This window comes from Homo sapiens, chromosome 1, assembly GCF_000001405.40.
Source record: "Homo sapiens chromosome 1, GRCh38.p14 Primary Assembly".
NCBI classification, from domain to species: Eukaryota; Metazoa; Chordata; class Mammalia; order Primates; family Hominidae; genus Homo; species Homo sapiens.
Window position 1 is genome coordinate 26,036,531 of NC_000001.11, and position 14,732 is coordinate 26,051,262.

Here is a 14,732-nt window from a genome sequence, read left to right on the forward strand (position 1 = left end):
TCCAGAGGGTGAGGGTGGTGGGTCCAGCCCAGGTCCAGGGTGTCAGGTGTTTTCCTGCTTTGATGGCCTGGCAGCTCTGGAAACTCCCGTGACTGTCTCACTGGCAGGAACATACTGTCCCCTTAGGCCTCTCCAAGGCCTTCCACCCCCACCCCCCAGCTTGACCTCGGCGGGCCCCTGGATGACTCAGGTCCTCCCTAGAGCCAGTCACAGCTGAGTGGCAGAGTGGGTTACCCTTGGGAGGCGTGGTGCTGTGAGATGCTTGAGGTACAGGGCGGACTGGAAATTAAAGAGGTGGGGGAGAGGCAGTCCGGCCCGGAGTCAAGAACTGAGGGTGGGTGGGAAAGCATACAGCTGGGGCCCAGGCAGCCTTCCCAGGGTGGGGAGGGCGCTGGATGCCAGGCCCAGCCAGGTGAAAGAGGCACCTTTCCAATCACAGCTGTGACACCCAGGACACTGAACTGCCTTGGCATGTCCTCACCCATGGGCCGGGCACTGCTGGTCCCAGGGGTTTGTATTGTACCAACAGGCAGCGCAGACCGACAGGCCCCCAGACCCTGCTGTAGAGGAAGGTCTACCGAAATGAGGCAGAAATCCCAGACCTGCCTGCACTGGCTGTCTGACTTCAGGAAAACGATTCAACCTCTGAGCCTGTTTTTTCATCTGTAAGAATGCAGGACAGCAGTGATGGTCTCCTTTTTTTTTTTTTTTTTTTTTTTTTAAGCTGGAGTCTCGCTCTGTCACCCAGGCTGGAGTGCAGTGGTGTGATCTCAGCTCACTGCAACCTCTGCCTCCCCGGTTCAAGCGATTCTCCTGCCTCAGCCTCCCGAGTAGCTGGGATTACAGGCACAAGCCACCACGCCTGGCTAGTTTTTGTATTTTTAGTAGAAATGAGGTTTCGCCATATTGGCCAGGCTGGTCTCGAACTCCTGGCCTCAAGTCATCTGCCTGCCTCAGCCTCCCAAGGTGCTGGGATTGCAGGCATGAGCCACCGTGCCCAGCCAATGACTGTCTCTTGAGAGGGGTGTAAGGACTTGGCATACGGCAAAGCCCAGGATCAAGTTCCTGGGGCCTGCCATGGCTTGGGTGGGGGTGGGGAGTTGGGTAGGGGAGGTTGAGTCCCCTGAGATTGTGGTGGAATGGAGCACCCACCAGCAACCCCCCACCCCTCTCCAGGCCAGTGCTTTCCACAGACTTTTCACAGACCTGGAGGGGCTGAAGGACCCACCTACCTAGAACACAGGCGATCAGGATGACAGTGCTGGGAAGGCACAAAGAGGTCATTTCACAGATGGAAAGACAGAGATTTAAAGTGGGAGGCAAGTGACCAAACCCACCTCCTCCCACCTTGGGCCAGAACAGTCAAGACAAACTCAGCACTGCCCCTGGGGAGGCTGGGAAGCCCACCTGACTCCTCAGTGAGGCAGCCTCGGGCCACAGAGTTCCCTGTCCCCAGGATGGTAAAAGTAACCAATCTTCAACAACCACAGGTACTTGGCCAACTGGCTCTTGTTCTCAACCCTGTGAGGGAGGCATCAACCCTGTCGGTGTACAGATGAGACTGTGGGGCAGAGGCCAGCTCGCCCAAGGCACTTGCTTACAATGGCAGAGACAGACCTTGTGACACAGGACTCCCTGATAACTGGGCATGTTGTCTCGATGAGTCGGGGACAGGTTTCCCCTCTTGCATCTTGTAAACAAAAGCCACCCCTAAGTCAGGAATCTTCACACACAAGCCCCAGGAAGCTGCGGTTTCCCTCCTAGCTGGCCTCTGGACCGAGTGCAGCCCCACTTGTCTCCCTTTCCCTCCACCATGTCAGGCTCCGACTGGGTCAGGCCAGGTAGGCAACAGAGTTGGCCCAGCCATATCTTTCTGGAGACTCTGAATCCCCTGGGACACTCTCAGGGCAACAGAAGTGCCAGGGGGCTTGGAGGCTGTTAGTGCAGAACCCAAGCTGAAATCTCTCTACCCCCTGCCCACCACCTGTGCCAAAGTTGTTTTTTGTGTTGGCACAGCTGAGGAAATAAGGAAAGAGGAAACCTGTCTCTTACCTAGTAAGAAGCCTCTCCCCTCCAGGAAAGGGAACATTTGGCTCATAGCTGAAGTGACTAAGGCACAGATAGGCCTCAGGTGCCTCCTGGCTCCCTGCCTCAGGGAGGCTCAAATGAGAGTGTGAGGGTCCTCACCCCCGTGCCTATTGCTATAGGCAGATGGAGGGGCTCAGATTCATAAAGGCAAAGGCCAGCCAGGCTGAGAATGGGGCATGAGGCAGGCAGTATGGGCGCGCTGGGGCCAGCCTCCCCTTGGACGTCCCGTGGCTCACCACCTTTGCCCCTGCGAGTGGTAGAACATTTGCTGAGGATTAGGCCCAAATACAGCCCTTCCAGAGCTGGCCCAGGAGCTGGAAGAGCAGGGTCACACTAGCTTTATACCCGCTGAGTCCCCACCCTGGCTGTAGTCAGATGGGAGGCTGGGAAGAGCTCCATTCCTGGAGTGGGGCAGAGGTCAGGAGGGGGACCTGGTTTACAACACAGCTGGGGTAGGCAAAGTCCTGGCTGGGCCTGGGGGACACTCAGTCCAGCCACCTGCAGGTCCTGTTCATGCCCCAGTTGGTGCCTGGCTGAGCAGTCAGTCTGAGGGGCCCTGGCATGCCTGACAGTCCTTCATGTCCTCCGAGTAGTCCTCGATCTGGATGGTCACGGTGTGGAAGTGGAACTTCCCTTGGAGGCGGCTGCTGGCTGTCTTCAGCACAGCCTGGGCGTCTGTATTCTGAGCTGGGGGCCGAGAGGACACAGCGGGGGAAGCCATTTACTCTGGCCCTTTGGAACCATCAGGAGCCCAAATCTCATACCCCATCCCCAGCAGAACAGGATGGGGGACCATGAACATGGAGAAGCCCCCAGATTCCATTCCTCTGCCAGGTAGCCTCCCAGCCCAGACCTGGCTCATGCCTGAAAGAGCTGGTAAAGCACTGGCCTTAAGGCCAGGAATCTGCCACCTACTGCCATATACTAGCTGTAAAAGCCTGGGCAAGTAACTTTACCACCCAACCCCAGCCTCAGTTTCTTCATGGATAAATGAGATTGTGCTGATCAGATGGAATAATGCGTATCAAGTACTCAGCATGAGGCTGGGCTTGATGCATGGGCACTGTGAGCATCTGGGGTCACCTGGACCCGTTGGGGATGGCACTAGGCCTTTGGCTGCCTGTCTCCCACCCCACCCTGAGTGTCCCAAGCACTCACCAATGGCGATGTGGACAGACAGAACAGGCTGGGCCACCGTCAGTGCCCAGATATGCAGGCTGTGCAGGGCTTCTACCCCCTCCACCGACAGCAGCAGATCACGAACAGCTGTGAAGTCAACGCCCTTGGGGGTCCCTGAGGACGGCAAGGACAGGGGAAACTAAAGGAAACTACCCCTCCCACGCCTGCCCATTGGTGCAGGGCTGGCTCCTGATCCTCAGGTGTCATCCCCTCAAAGAAGACCTCTTTGGCCTGCAGGTCTGAGGCTGCCTTCACCTCCCAAGGTCTCTGCCCTATCACTCTGTTGTATTTCCTCTCCACTCTTAACACTGAAATTATTTATGAATGTACTTATTGTCAGTTTCTCCCTCTAAAATGGACACTCCATGAGGGCAGGACAGTCTCCTTTGATTACCACAGTATCCTTGGTGCCTAAAACAGCACCTACTCCATAGTAGGTGCTCAATAAATATATTTTTTGGTTTTTTTTGAGACGGAATCTTGCTCTGTCACCCAGGCTGGAGTGCAGTGGCGTGATCTTGGCTCACTGCAACCTCTGCCTCCCTGGTTCAAGCAATTATCCTGCCTCAGCCTCCTGAGTAGCTGGGACTACAGGCGCATGCCACCACGCCCGGCTAATTTTTGTATTTTTGGTAGAGACAGGGTTTCACTGTGTTAGCCAGGCTGGTCTTGAACTCCTGACCTCAGGTAATCTGCCTGCCTCGGCCTCCCACAGTGCTGGGATTACAGGTGTGAGCCACCGCACCTGGCCAATAAATATATTTTTGAATGGAAAGAAGGAAAGAACAGATCCTGAGAATCCTTGGACCCACCCAGGGCACGATCATCATCTTCATCATTATCGCTTTCATCTGGGTTAGCATATTCTTGGAGAAAAAGCTCTGACCTGCAGCCAAATACTGCTAAGCCCAGGCCAGCATCCTACTCCATTCCAGACTGACCCTGACCACGCAGAGGCCTATGACCCTGGCCCAAGACCCCAGGCCTAGAGCATAAGAAAGCCAAGGTGCAGGGCCAGGTGTGGTGGCTCACATCTGTAACTCCAGCACTTTGAGAGGCCGAAGTGAGATGATTGCTTGAGCCCAAAAGTTCGAGACCAGCCAGGGCAACATAGTGAGACCCCCCCCCCATCTCTACAAACATTTAAAAGTTAGCCAGACATGGTGGCATGCGCCTGTGGTCCCAGCTACTTGGGAGGCTGAGGCAGGAGGATTACTTGAGCCTAGGAGGTCAAGGCTGCGGTGAGCCTTGGTGGCACCACTGCACTCTAGCTTGGATGACAGAGCAAGACCCTGTTTCAAAAAAAAGAAAAAAGAAAAAAAAAAGGTAATTCAGGGCAGACCAGATCATTCTCCACCACTGACCGTTCTCCAACCCCACAAAGCACAGCCATGTCCCCACAGGGTGTGGCATTGTTTGGTCCCTGAGATGTAGGAAAGGCCTGCGCTGCAGTGGATTCAGTAGCTTTGTCCAAGGCTGACTGTCCTTCTCTGAGCCTCAGTCTGCCCCTCTGTGCAATGAGAAGCATAATCCTCACCCCCTCTCTCTTCCTGAGAGAAGGCAGCCAGAGCCTGGGGAAGTGTATAGGGGAGGGCTGGAGAGCTCCAGATGCTACAGATGTCCCCCAGAAGCCACCTGACTAGGCAGAGGAGGCACCCTTAGGGGTAGGGGGAAGGGAAGACTCGGGCTGGGGGACGGTTCCAGGAACTGCCACACCTGAAAGCCCAGGCTCTATGTCAAGATCAGCCCAGGGGCCCCAGGAGGTTTTCCAGCCTATGCCGGGGCTCCGGATCCTGGCTCCCCGCCCATGTGCTAGGATGCCCCAGACACACACATACCCTATTTGAGCTGATTAGCGCTTGAGAGCCAAGAGCAAAAAGGGAGCCACAAAGCCCAGGTTACCTTCCATCAACACCAGGATCACATCTCTCAGGATGGTCAAGGTTGTCCCCAGGACCAGGATGGAGAAGACGAAGGTGCAGATGGGGTCTACATACTTGTATTCTGGCTGCAGGAAGACAGGAAGGCAGACCTGGAGTTCACCATCTAACACCTCAGCTTCCCTTCTCCCCTCCCACCCAGCACTGCTGGGGAGAGGTGCTCTCTCTGCTGGGTGGGCATGAGCCTCGCCCTGGCCCTGCCTCCCAGTTTTCTGCTCTTTATTTCACATCTGCAAGAGCAGAAAGGACAGACCACAGTTCAGAATAAGGCAGTCCCTTCCCACCCCTCCTTCTCAAGGAGCTGAGACATGGACAGAGCAAAAAGGCATCTTAGATACCATCTGATCCGCCATCCGTCCCCATTTGACAGATGGGGAAATTGAGGCTCCATTAGAGCAAGCAAACTCATCCAATGTCACATGGCTAGCAAGGAGGAGAGCCAAGCTTCAGAGCAAATGCCTGCCTCTTTCCACTACAGCTCCCTGCCTCTATGTGATGGGCATTGCCCAGGGTTTGACAACACACAGTCGTAGGCTTGAATCTGGCTCTATGCTTTACCGGCTGTGTGACACTGTGCAAGTCACTGAACCTTTCTGAGCTACAGAAAACACTACCACCTACCCTTCAGGTTGTTGTGAGGATCAGAAGTGCTGACACTTGGTAGGTATTGGATAAATGTTCCTTTCCTCTCCCCACCCTTTTCCCTAGAACTGGGAGGGAGCTAGAATCTGAAAAGAAACCCCGGTAGAGAGTATACTCAGGTGGTCTACACTCCCCTGCCACCCCCACCACCCTGTGTCCCAGCTCTGACCTTGAAGTATAAAATATAGGCTGCCACTAGGACACCCATGCTCTGCATAAAGTCGCCGATCACATGGATGAAGGCAGCTCGGACGCTGGGGTTCTCCTCCTGCTGGTTGGTGGTGCCGTGGCTGTGCCCATGGCCAGACTGGTGAAGGGTCAACCCCATTCTATGGAAGTGGAGACAAAGCCAAGGGCTCACTGAGGTCGCAGATGGAGGTCACCTATTAGGACTAGCCAACTTGTAGGGCAAAAATCTCAAGCCCCTAAACCTTGTGATCTCTTTGGCCATGTGAGAAGTCCAACCCACGTGGCCTTGGTTCAGACAGCCATGAGAGATAGGGCCCAGCGCCAATGCCAGGCTGAGCCTGGGCACAACAATGCCACAGTGTCAAATCTCAGAGCAGGAGGGCATTAGGGAGGTCACTGTCAGTTCACTCCATCATGTCACAGATGGGGAAACTGAGGCCTCTGAACAAAGACCCCGAAAGAGACACCCATTGTCTCTAACTGAGACCAATTTCAGACTTGGGTTCTGCCCCTAGGGACAGCTACTCCTGCAACAACTGGCCTCTTCCCGCCCCACTTCAGGTATGAAGCCACCAAGGCTAGTCCCTGACATGTATCAGGGAGTGGGTAGAGTGGATGAAGACTCCGATTTACAGCTCCCAGTGTTCTTGGCCTAGGCCTAAGGTAGGACCCAGGTGTTCCAGGTGCCAGAGCTCAGACCATTAGGGAAGTTCTGTCCCTGTAGCGTATGCTGGAAAGTGGCACAGTCTCTTTCCGCAAAGCAGACATAGGTGTGGGTGTGAGAGGCGGGAGGAGGAGGGGAGACGAGGGAAACTGGGGCCCCACTCACATGATGTTCACAGCCACAGCGCAGCCCGACGTGATCAGCATGGTCCCCCCGTCAATTTCATAGTCCCCAGAGATCAGCCGCTCCACAGCCAGGTACACCAGTACCCCCGTCACGACCCAGATGGACAGTACAGAGACCAGGGCTCCCAAGATCTCTGAGGAAGAACCCAACCCCAACACCCACCTTGGCATGGGCCTGGAGCTAAGGAGTCTTCCCCCTTCCTTCAGGATCCTCCCCACCCACCTCCCACACAAAGTCAGGGCCTGGGTCCCACTGGGCTCTGCTGAAGGTATGGCCGGTATGGCTGCCCCTTACCCCACCCCTCATATATCTAGGAATGTAAGAGCTAGAAGGAACTAATAAGTCATCATCTGAGTCCACCTTTTTGGTTGTACATGTAAAGAAGCTGACTTATTAAAGTATGTGCCTTTTGTTCAGCTAGTAAACTGAGGCTTCTGGGGAAGACAGGCTGGGCCATCTCCCACAAAGAGGAAGGTGACGATGCAGTCCAGGGTGAACGGAAGAGAGGTTAAAGCCTATATCTTCCAGCAGCCTTTGCTGGCCTTCCCCTCCCCCCAGAGCTGATCCACAGAGTTATGTGCAGTGTTAATGCCATTGTCATTTGTTCTTGAAGCTTGGCTACTGCACTTCTTAGGAAGGTCAACTTTGCTTCCCTGCAGACTGAGAGCTCCTGGATGACTGGGACCAGGGCTCCCCCATCAGACTAGGATTTCCCAGAGGACAGAGGCCATGGTTGACATCCTCTTCCCCCATCCAGATCACCCTCCTGGCCTCACTCAGGGGAGGAAGGGGGGATCCACCCATTACAGCCACCTAAGAACCCCTGTTCTAACCCACCCTCTCTCTCAACCCCATCTCCAGCCAAACCGCGATCCTCACCAGCTCTCTGCCAGCCAAAGTTCATGGTCTTGGTGGCTGGCCGGGAGGACATCCAGAGGGAGAAGAGGCTGATGAGCATGCTGGCAAAGTCAGTGAGCAGGTGTGCTGCGTCAGTCATGACAGCCAAGCTGTGTGCCAGGTACCCACCTGCAGGGTGGAGGGTCCTTATCAGCTCCCCCAGAGAGCTGGCTCCCAAGACTGTGTGTGCAGCAGGGAGACCACAGGCTCTGGAAGAGGACATTCTGGGCTCAAGATCTCTCTACCCATGAGCTGTACCACCGTGACAAGTGACCTACTCTCTCTGAGCCTCAACTTCCACTCTCTGTGAAATGGGCCACCAATATCTACTTAGAGGGTGAATGTGCACATCAAGTTCAAATAGGGACTGGAAAACATAGCAGATACTCAGTAAATGCTCTTCCCTTCTAGGAATTCAGGCCTTCCCTTAGCTACGAGTTGTGCGTGATCTTTGGCAAGTTACTTCACCTGAACATGCCTCAGTTTCATCATCTGTAAAGTAAGGAGAATAACGTCACCCATGTGAGAACACAGGTTGTTGTTAGACCTGCATCAGATAATGTGTATATAAAGGCTTACTGTAGTGTGTGTTCAGTAATTGGGGCTTTTAGTGTCAGTATTGCTGGGAACATCCAGTCTATCCATGCACCAACTTCATTTAATTAGCCCAAAAGTGCTTACCAACGACTTCTCCGATCATGAACAACAGGCAGATGGCAGAGGCTACATACAGCTGGCGCTGGGCCTTCCCCTTCTTGGGGTCACAGTGACTGTCAGGACCCTTCTGAGCATGGCAGTGATGGTTGCTCTGGGCAGCCAGCTCAATGGCCTGCAAGTCCAGGCCAGGTCGGGGCAGAGGAATCCAGCCAGCCCCTTCCTGCCACAGAGATCCCGTGTATGACCTGGCCAGAGGGGAAGAGAGGGAACGCTCAGCTCTGAGATGAGGTAAGGAGGGCCGACTCTAGTCCCATTTCTCTGTGAGGCCTTGTGTCCACTGGGAAAAATAGCTAAGGACGCTCCGAGCTCGACAAACCAGAGGTGAGAAGCCTGTATTCAGACGGGGATGATAGGGGAATGGGAGTCCTGGGGCCCGGGGCCCTTCAGAGGCCAGAGGAGGTGAAGACCCTGGGAACCGGCCAAGGGGCGTGCTGTCCAGTGGAGCGCGGGGAAGGAACAGAGCGCAGGCTCTGGGAGAACAGCAGGCCCCCTCCAGCGCACTTGGGACACAGGGCCTCCCCGGGGCGGGGCTGCCTGGGGCAAAGTGCTGGGCGGGGCGGGACTCCAGGCATGGGAACCGCCAATCCCCCGGCCCCAGGCCCCCCGCGGGCAGGGGTCAGAATCTGGGCTGCGCCCCAAGGGAGAGACGGTCCTTGGGCCACAGCCCATTATCTTCGTTCCCTCACCTCACCCCACCCCTCCTGCATGGTCCCAGCTCAAGCCGCAGCCAAAACCAACCACTGCTAGGATGGCAAATGCGGAGGTGCGTCGGCTGCCGCCAAAATTCCCGCCCGTCCCCAGGCTCTCGCCTTACCGGATTGCCGGCCTGGCGTCCAACAGATGCTGCTTCTCCTTGGCCTCCATGCAGTCCCGCGCCGAGTCCCGGCAGCCGCGCAGCCGCCCCGCCGAGTGCGCCCTGAAAGTTGCGCGCGGGACTCCGGGTGGCGCTCACCCACCTGCCCCGAGGGCCCCGCGAGGTGCGCTCACTCCGGCCCGGCTCCTGCGGCCCCTGAGCTCCCCCGGCTCCCGCTGCGGCTGCAGCTCCGGCTCTGGCTCCGCGTGCCAAGCGCTCCCGTGTCTCGGGTCAGCCGCTGCGCCCCGCGGCCGCCGGCTTTATCCGGCCCTCGCCAACCCGTGTGAAGCTGCCGTCGGCGCGTCGTGTGCAAAAGCCCGCGGGGAAGGGGGGGCGGTCGCCGGCTGCAAAAGGCCCGGCTGTGGCCCCGCACACCTGTGCCTGCGCCCATGGGGCCCGCGGAGCCCACCTGCCGGCCGCGAGAAGTTTGCCAGCCTTCGCCCGGCGCGGCGCCGGGTGTTGCTGAGTGAGGACGGGGTGACGCCTGCGCCCCCTCTCCCGCGCGGGGTGCGCCGCCTCGCCGCCGAAAAGTTCTCGACTTTAGTTTGTAGAAATCCGCTTTGGTGGTCCCGACGGCAGGAATGTGGCTCCTTGCCTCGGAAGAGGGTCTCCAGAGGCTACTGGGGCCGCGTCTGCCCCCTCCGACTGGCGGCTGCCCTGGGCTTGATCATGTTCCCCTCTCAGGCCGGAGACCCCCCGAGGTCGGCTTGCGTTCCTGTCCTCCTGCTAGGAGGGTCCTGGGGTGGGGTGGGCTGCGCCGCCCTCAGGCTGGGGCAGTGTCTCTCCCTAGGACCGGCTGGGACTGATCGACCCATCCTCGCCACTGAAGCAGCGCCAGCTCCTCCTCTCCTGCGCGCAGGAGAATCTGGAGTGGCCGGCTTTGTCTCCACCCGCACAGAGAACAGTGTCATCGGCAGTCACCATCGGAGCAGAGACGACCACTGCCACTGCTGCCACCCCTTCTCCCCTCCCCCGCAGCGGCTCCTGGGAGCCCCAGGAAGCCTGACAAGCAAGCCTGGGAGATGCAGGCCGGAGGTGCCACCGTGTTGGTACCGCTGGGAGAAGCCCTGTCCTTCCTGGCCAGCTTGGTGCCCCACCCACTTGAAGCAGCCTCCTTCCCTGGCGGTTCTTGGGGATTGGGGAGCCTGTGGCCCCCACGCTGGCCTCTGACAGGTGCCCTCTGTGTAGAAAGAAGCTGCTGGAGACCTCCCTGTCTGGTCAATTCGTCTCCCCAGCACCCTTTGTCGCTAGGACCATAGGCTTGGTGGGTATGGCCTTTCACAGAGCCAAGAGTCAGAGGTGCAGGCCTCTTGCCCACACCACTGGGGACAGGAAGGGGCTCTTTCAGTCTCTCATCTTGTAGGAGACGGGGTGCCAGGAGTGAGGATGTGAGGTGCACCCGCTCTGCTTGGGTCCTCACTGAGTGCCTCTCTGCTTCTCTGGACTCTGGTTTTCTTCTGGAAAACCTCAGACACCCTGGTTTTCTCCAGGTCTGTCTACTCTGAGCACCAGCAGGCTCAGCATTACCTGGAGAAGGTGTTACAACGCAGGTTACAGGTCCCTGCATCAGACCAACCGAACCAGAATCTCTGGGTGTGGAGCCTGAATATTTCCAGGATTCAGTAGGTCTGGGGCAGGGCCTGGGAATCTGTATTTATAAAATTCTCTGGTGCTATTGTGGCATCATTGTTCATTTTTATGTATAGTGGTTTTTTTGTTTGTTTGTTTTTGAGACAGAGTTTCATTTCTGTCTCTGTCGCCCAGGCTCGACTGCAATCTCAGCTCACTGCAATCTCTGCTTCCCGGATTCAAGTGATTCTCCTGCCTCAGCTTCCTGAGTAGCTGGGATTACAGGTGCCCACGACCATGCCAAGCTAATTTTTGTATTTTTAGTACAGACAGGGTTTCACCATGTTGGCCAGGCTGGTCCTGAGGTTATGATTTTTTTCAAAGAACACCTTTATCTAAAGTATTTAGGGATAAAATGTCATCTGGGTTTTGCCTTAAAATAATCCCAGTGGGGAGAGTACGGTACTGGTATAGAAGAAATAAATATGTCACCAGCTGTTGAAACTGAGTGATGGGTAAATGGGGTACACTATAACTATTCCCTCTACTTTTCAGTATTTAAAAAATGTTGGCTGGGTGCGGCGGCTCACGCCTATAATCCCAGCACTTTGGGAGGCTGAGGCAGGCGGATCACCTGAGGTCAAGAGTTCGAGACCAGCCTGGTCAACATGGCAAAACCTCGTCTCTACTAAAAATAAGAAAATTAGCCAGGCATGGTGGCAGGCGCCTGTAATCCCAGCTACTCAGAATTCTGAGGCAGGAGAATCACTTGAACCCGGGAGGTAGAGGTTGCAGTGAGCCGAGATCATGCCATTGCACTCCAGCGTGGGCAATCAAGAGTGAAACTCTGTCTAAAAAAAAAAAAAAAAAAAGTTTCAGAATTAAAGACTTGGGGAAAAATAAACCTTTCCTGGCAATTCTGATGTAGCAGCCCATGGAGCTGTATTCAAGATTCATTGAAAGAACCCCCTTGAAGCCAGCTGTCCTCTCTTGCAGCATGATTTTAAAGGAAGCATGTTGATCAAGAACCCTTCATACCATCTTAAGGGTTCTAGTTTGCAAGTACAGGAAGAGCCCTTCCTATGGCAAAGGAAAGATCCCCTTAGTTGCAATTAACAGGTATCTTCCTGGAATTTAATCTTTAACTGATTACCCAAAGTCTCAACTGCTCTCTCTTCTCTTCCATAAGTGACAAGATACGGGGCTGAAATGCTTGCTGCTTACATGATCAGTAGCCTGGAGAAGTAACAGAACATACACACGTTATAATACTGATTCTTGTGATTTCAAGGTGATGAAAACCTCTCTCTTTCTGGCCTCAAATTTCTCCTTCTGGACTCAAATCCCTTCAGTTTTCTATGGGAGGATACTTTAGGAGACCAAACCATAAAGAAAAACAAGTATGTGATTGTCAAAAAAACAAAAAAATTGACCGCTCCTCTTTCCGCTGCCCCAATCAGAAAGAGGAGCTGTGATGTGGTAGAGGGGCACATGGAGGGCTTCTGAGGGCTGGCAATGTTCTTTTTTTTTTTTCACCTGAGTGGTAGTAACATAAGGTTTCATTTTACAATAGGTTATTAAACTCTACGATGAGTTTTGTGCACTTTTAAGGGTGTGTGTGTGTGTATTACACCGTGTTTTAAAAACTAAAACAAAATGCTTCAGAACTTGAGAAAGGACTGGAAATGAGAGCAAAATCTGATTCTTTGAAATTCAAAGTTAGGAACTGAGTTAGCCTTAGAAAACCTACCAAACTCCCAGAAGTGAAAATGGGCAGAGGTTGTGAGGGTTTTTGAGCACTGTCCTAAAGCAAGTTCCACATAACTCTAGTTCCGGAGGATGTCATATGAATAAGTTGGGAAATTCAGTCCACACACACAAAATGAAAGACTTAGGGTCAGGCAGCATTCCAAGCACCATGAACTTGATGGTCCTCATCTAAAGTTAATTCGCTTTCTTTACGGTGGGACGACTCGGACCCCTTAATTTGCTACTGTGATCTGAATGTCTAAAAGGGGGAACAGGCTCTGCAATGCTCCTCAAAGTTGTAAGTCTCTGGTGTATCAGCCCCGGTGAATGCGCTGCCTCGGATTCGCTCAGCCTTGCCTCTCTCCAGGCCCTTGGCTTCTTGCTCATGGAGATCCTGGATGCTACTGGGCCACAGTCATGAATTCATCCCCTACTGCCGGTGGCTGACTTGGCCTTTCCTGGCGTGAGTCTGGGCACCAGCCTGGCCCCATTGTGTTCACTGAGGTGGAGACAGCAGCTGCCCCACCCTTGTCCAACCCAACTGGACCATGGAGGCCCTGGCACCTCCCACCATCTCCAGACTCAGCTGAAGTACCACCCAATGGGGCAGGTGACCTTGCTGCCCCTGCACCTGCACCACCTGAAGTCAAGGTGGAATGAACAGTATGGGAGGCGGGAGACAGGAAGGAGCCAGCAGACACATTTCTTTTTTTTTTTCTTCTCTAGATGAAGGACTTTGAATCATGTTCTGTTCTTTATGGCCTGCTGGAAACATCTCACATGACTAAGCAGCCAGCCCAGTCTTTGGTGAAGCTGTGGCCAGCTCAGCCACGTGACACCTTGTACTTGCTTCCCTCCTTGCCTGCCTCGCTTCCATTTTCCTTCCCTCTGTTGGCCTTGGGAGTGTGCCTCATAGGGTCTCAGAAAACAATACCCCGAAATGAAGGCCTCCCTCGGAAGCAAACATTTCTCTCTGACCTTCTCCTGCCCTCCTGTCTCTGGTCCCTTATTCTCCCCCAAGGCTAGCTATAAAAACTACAATCCCTCTTCACCAAAAGCCTGCCCTAAAACCTAAAAATATTACTCTAACTTTCCTCTTTCTTTCTGTGTAAAATTGGCCATAGGAAATTATTTGACCTTTGTCTGATTGTAGGTCAGAAGACCCCCATCCAGAGAGAGTCCTGCGCCATATGAGGAAGGAAGGAATGCTGCGCAGAGAGGCCGAAAAGAATCTTGACAGACAGGCCTCGCTGGGTTCCCCACTCAGTCTATCAGCATTAGATCAGGCTCTTTTGTCCAACCGTATTTCTACACGGCCATCCATACTTTGTTGAACTGAAGCCTAAAAATGGACAGTTTCTCCTGTATCTTTGGGTGTTCATTCTGAAGGTTCTTGTATCTCATAAAACCATGGTCAAATAAATTTGTGTATTTGTTTGCCTTTTCTCCTATTAATCTGCCTCTTTTTTTTTTTTTTTTTTTTTTGAGACGGAGTTTCACTCTTGTTGCCCAGGCTGGAGTGCAGTGGTGCGATCTTGGCTCACTACAACCTCCGCCTCCTGGGTTCAAGCAATTCTCATGCCTCAGCCTCCCAAGTAGCTAGGATTGCAGGCATGCGCCACCACGCCCAACTAATTTTGTATTTTTAGTAGAGACGGGGCTTCACCATGTTGGTCGGGCTGGTCTGGAACTCCTGACCTCAGATGATCTGCCCTCCTTGTCCTCCCAAAGTGCTGGGATTACAGGCATGAACCACTGCACCTGCCCAGCCTTAATCTGCCTCTTCTTGATGATTTTCAGTGAGCCTTCAGTGAGCCTTCAGTGAGCACGGGGAAGTCCCTATAACCTGCAACTAAAGCATTTAAATTTTGCCTCAGGCTCTGTTTTCTGGAGAACCAGAGCAACAACACATTGAACCTGTTCTTGAAGGACCAGCTCAGGGCTGGCTTTCCATGGAGTCCACATTGGGAAATGGTGGTGTCGAGAACTCCTTTACTGGGACCTAAGCCTAGCCCTGCCATTGCCTCCTACCAGGGGTCCTGTTCATTCACACTCAACC

The 14,732-nt window shown here is 54.2% G+C and overlaps 1 protein-coding gene and 1 long non-coding RNA gene across 3 annotated transcripts, besides 1 other annotated feature; one reads left to right on the forward strand and one right to left on the reverse strand.

The window, feature by feature from the left end:
* On the reverse strand, window positions 722-9,588 carry SLC30A2 (solute carrier family 30 member 2). Of its 2 annotated transcripts, NM_001004434.3 has the most exons (8): window positions 9,317-9,588; window positions 8,467-8,687; window positions 7,768-7,914; window positions 6,868-7,021; window positions 6,019-6,178; window positions 5,170-5,275; window positions 3,247-3,381; window positions 722-2,775 (listed from the first exon to the last, which is right to left on the reverse strand). In NM_001004434.3, the coding sequence occupies exons 1-8, from the start codon at window positions 9,364-9,366 to the stop codon at window positions 2,630-2,632; spliced, it is 1,119 nt and encodes a 372-aa protein (NP_001004434.1). In that variant the 5' UTR covers window positions 9,367-9,588; the 3' UTR covers window positions 722-2,629. The 2 variants fall into 2 exon arrangements, with proteins under 2 accessions (NP_001004434.1, NP_115902.1); NM_032513.5 differs by lacking the exon at window positions 7,768-7,914.
* Window positions 8,619-9,187: an enhancer, noted in NCBI's record as "H3K27ac-H3K4me1 hESC enhancer chr1:26371640-26372208 (GRCh37/hg19 assembly coordinates)". NCBI's record gives its function as "activates a minimal SCP1, AML or CMV promoter by ChIP-STARR-seq in naive H9 embryonic stem cells {active_cell/tissue: H9 hESC(naive)}" and the evidence as "EXISTENCE:reporter gene assay evidence [ECO:0000049][PMID:30033119]".
* Window positions 11,728-14,124, forward strand: LOC105376910 (uncharacterized). The gene is made up of 2 exons (XR_001737948.2): window positions 11,728-13,515; window positions 13,827-14,124. It is a non-coding gene; the product is annotated as an uncharacterized LOC105376910 (long non-coding RNA).

What these genes read in the sequence shown, in the direction of transcription:
- SLC30A2 (NM_001004434.3), bottom strand. Translation starts at nt 9,366, where the DNA reads ATGGAGGCCAAGGAGAAGCAGCATCTGTTGGACGCCAGGCCGGCAATC. An exon ending in CATGATCGGAGAAGTCGTTG is followed by an intron (nt 7,915 to 8,466) that starts GTAAGCACTTTT and finishes TCCACCCTGCAG; the next exon opens with GTGGGTACCTGGCACACAGC. An exon ending in GCTGTGGCTGTGAACATCAT is followed by an intron (nt 6,179 to 6,867) that starts GTGAGTGGGGCC and finishes CCACTTCCATAG; the next exon opens with AATGGGGTTGACCCTTCACC.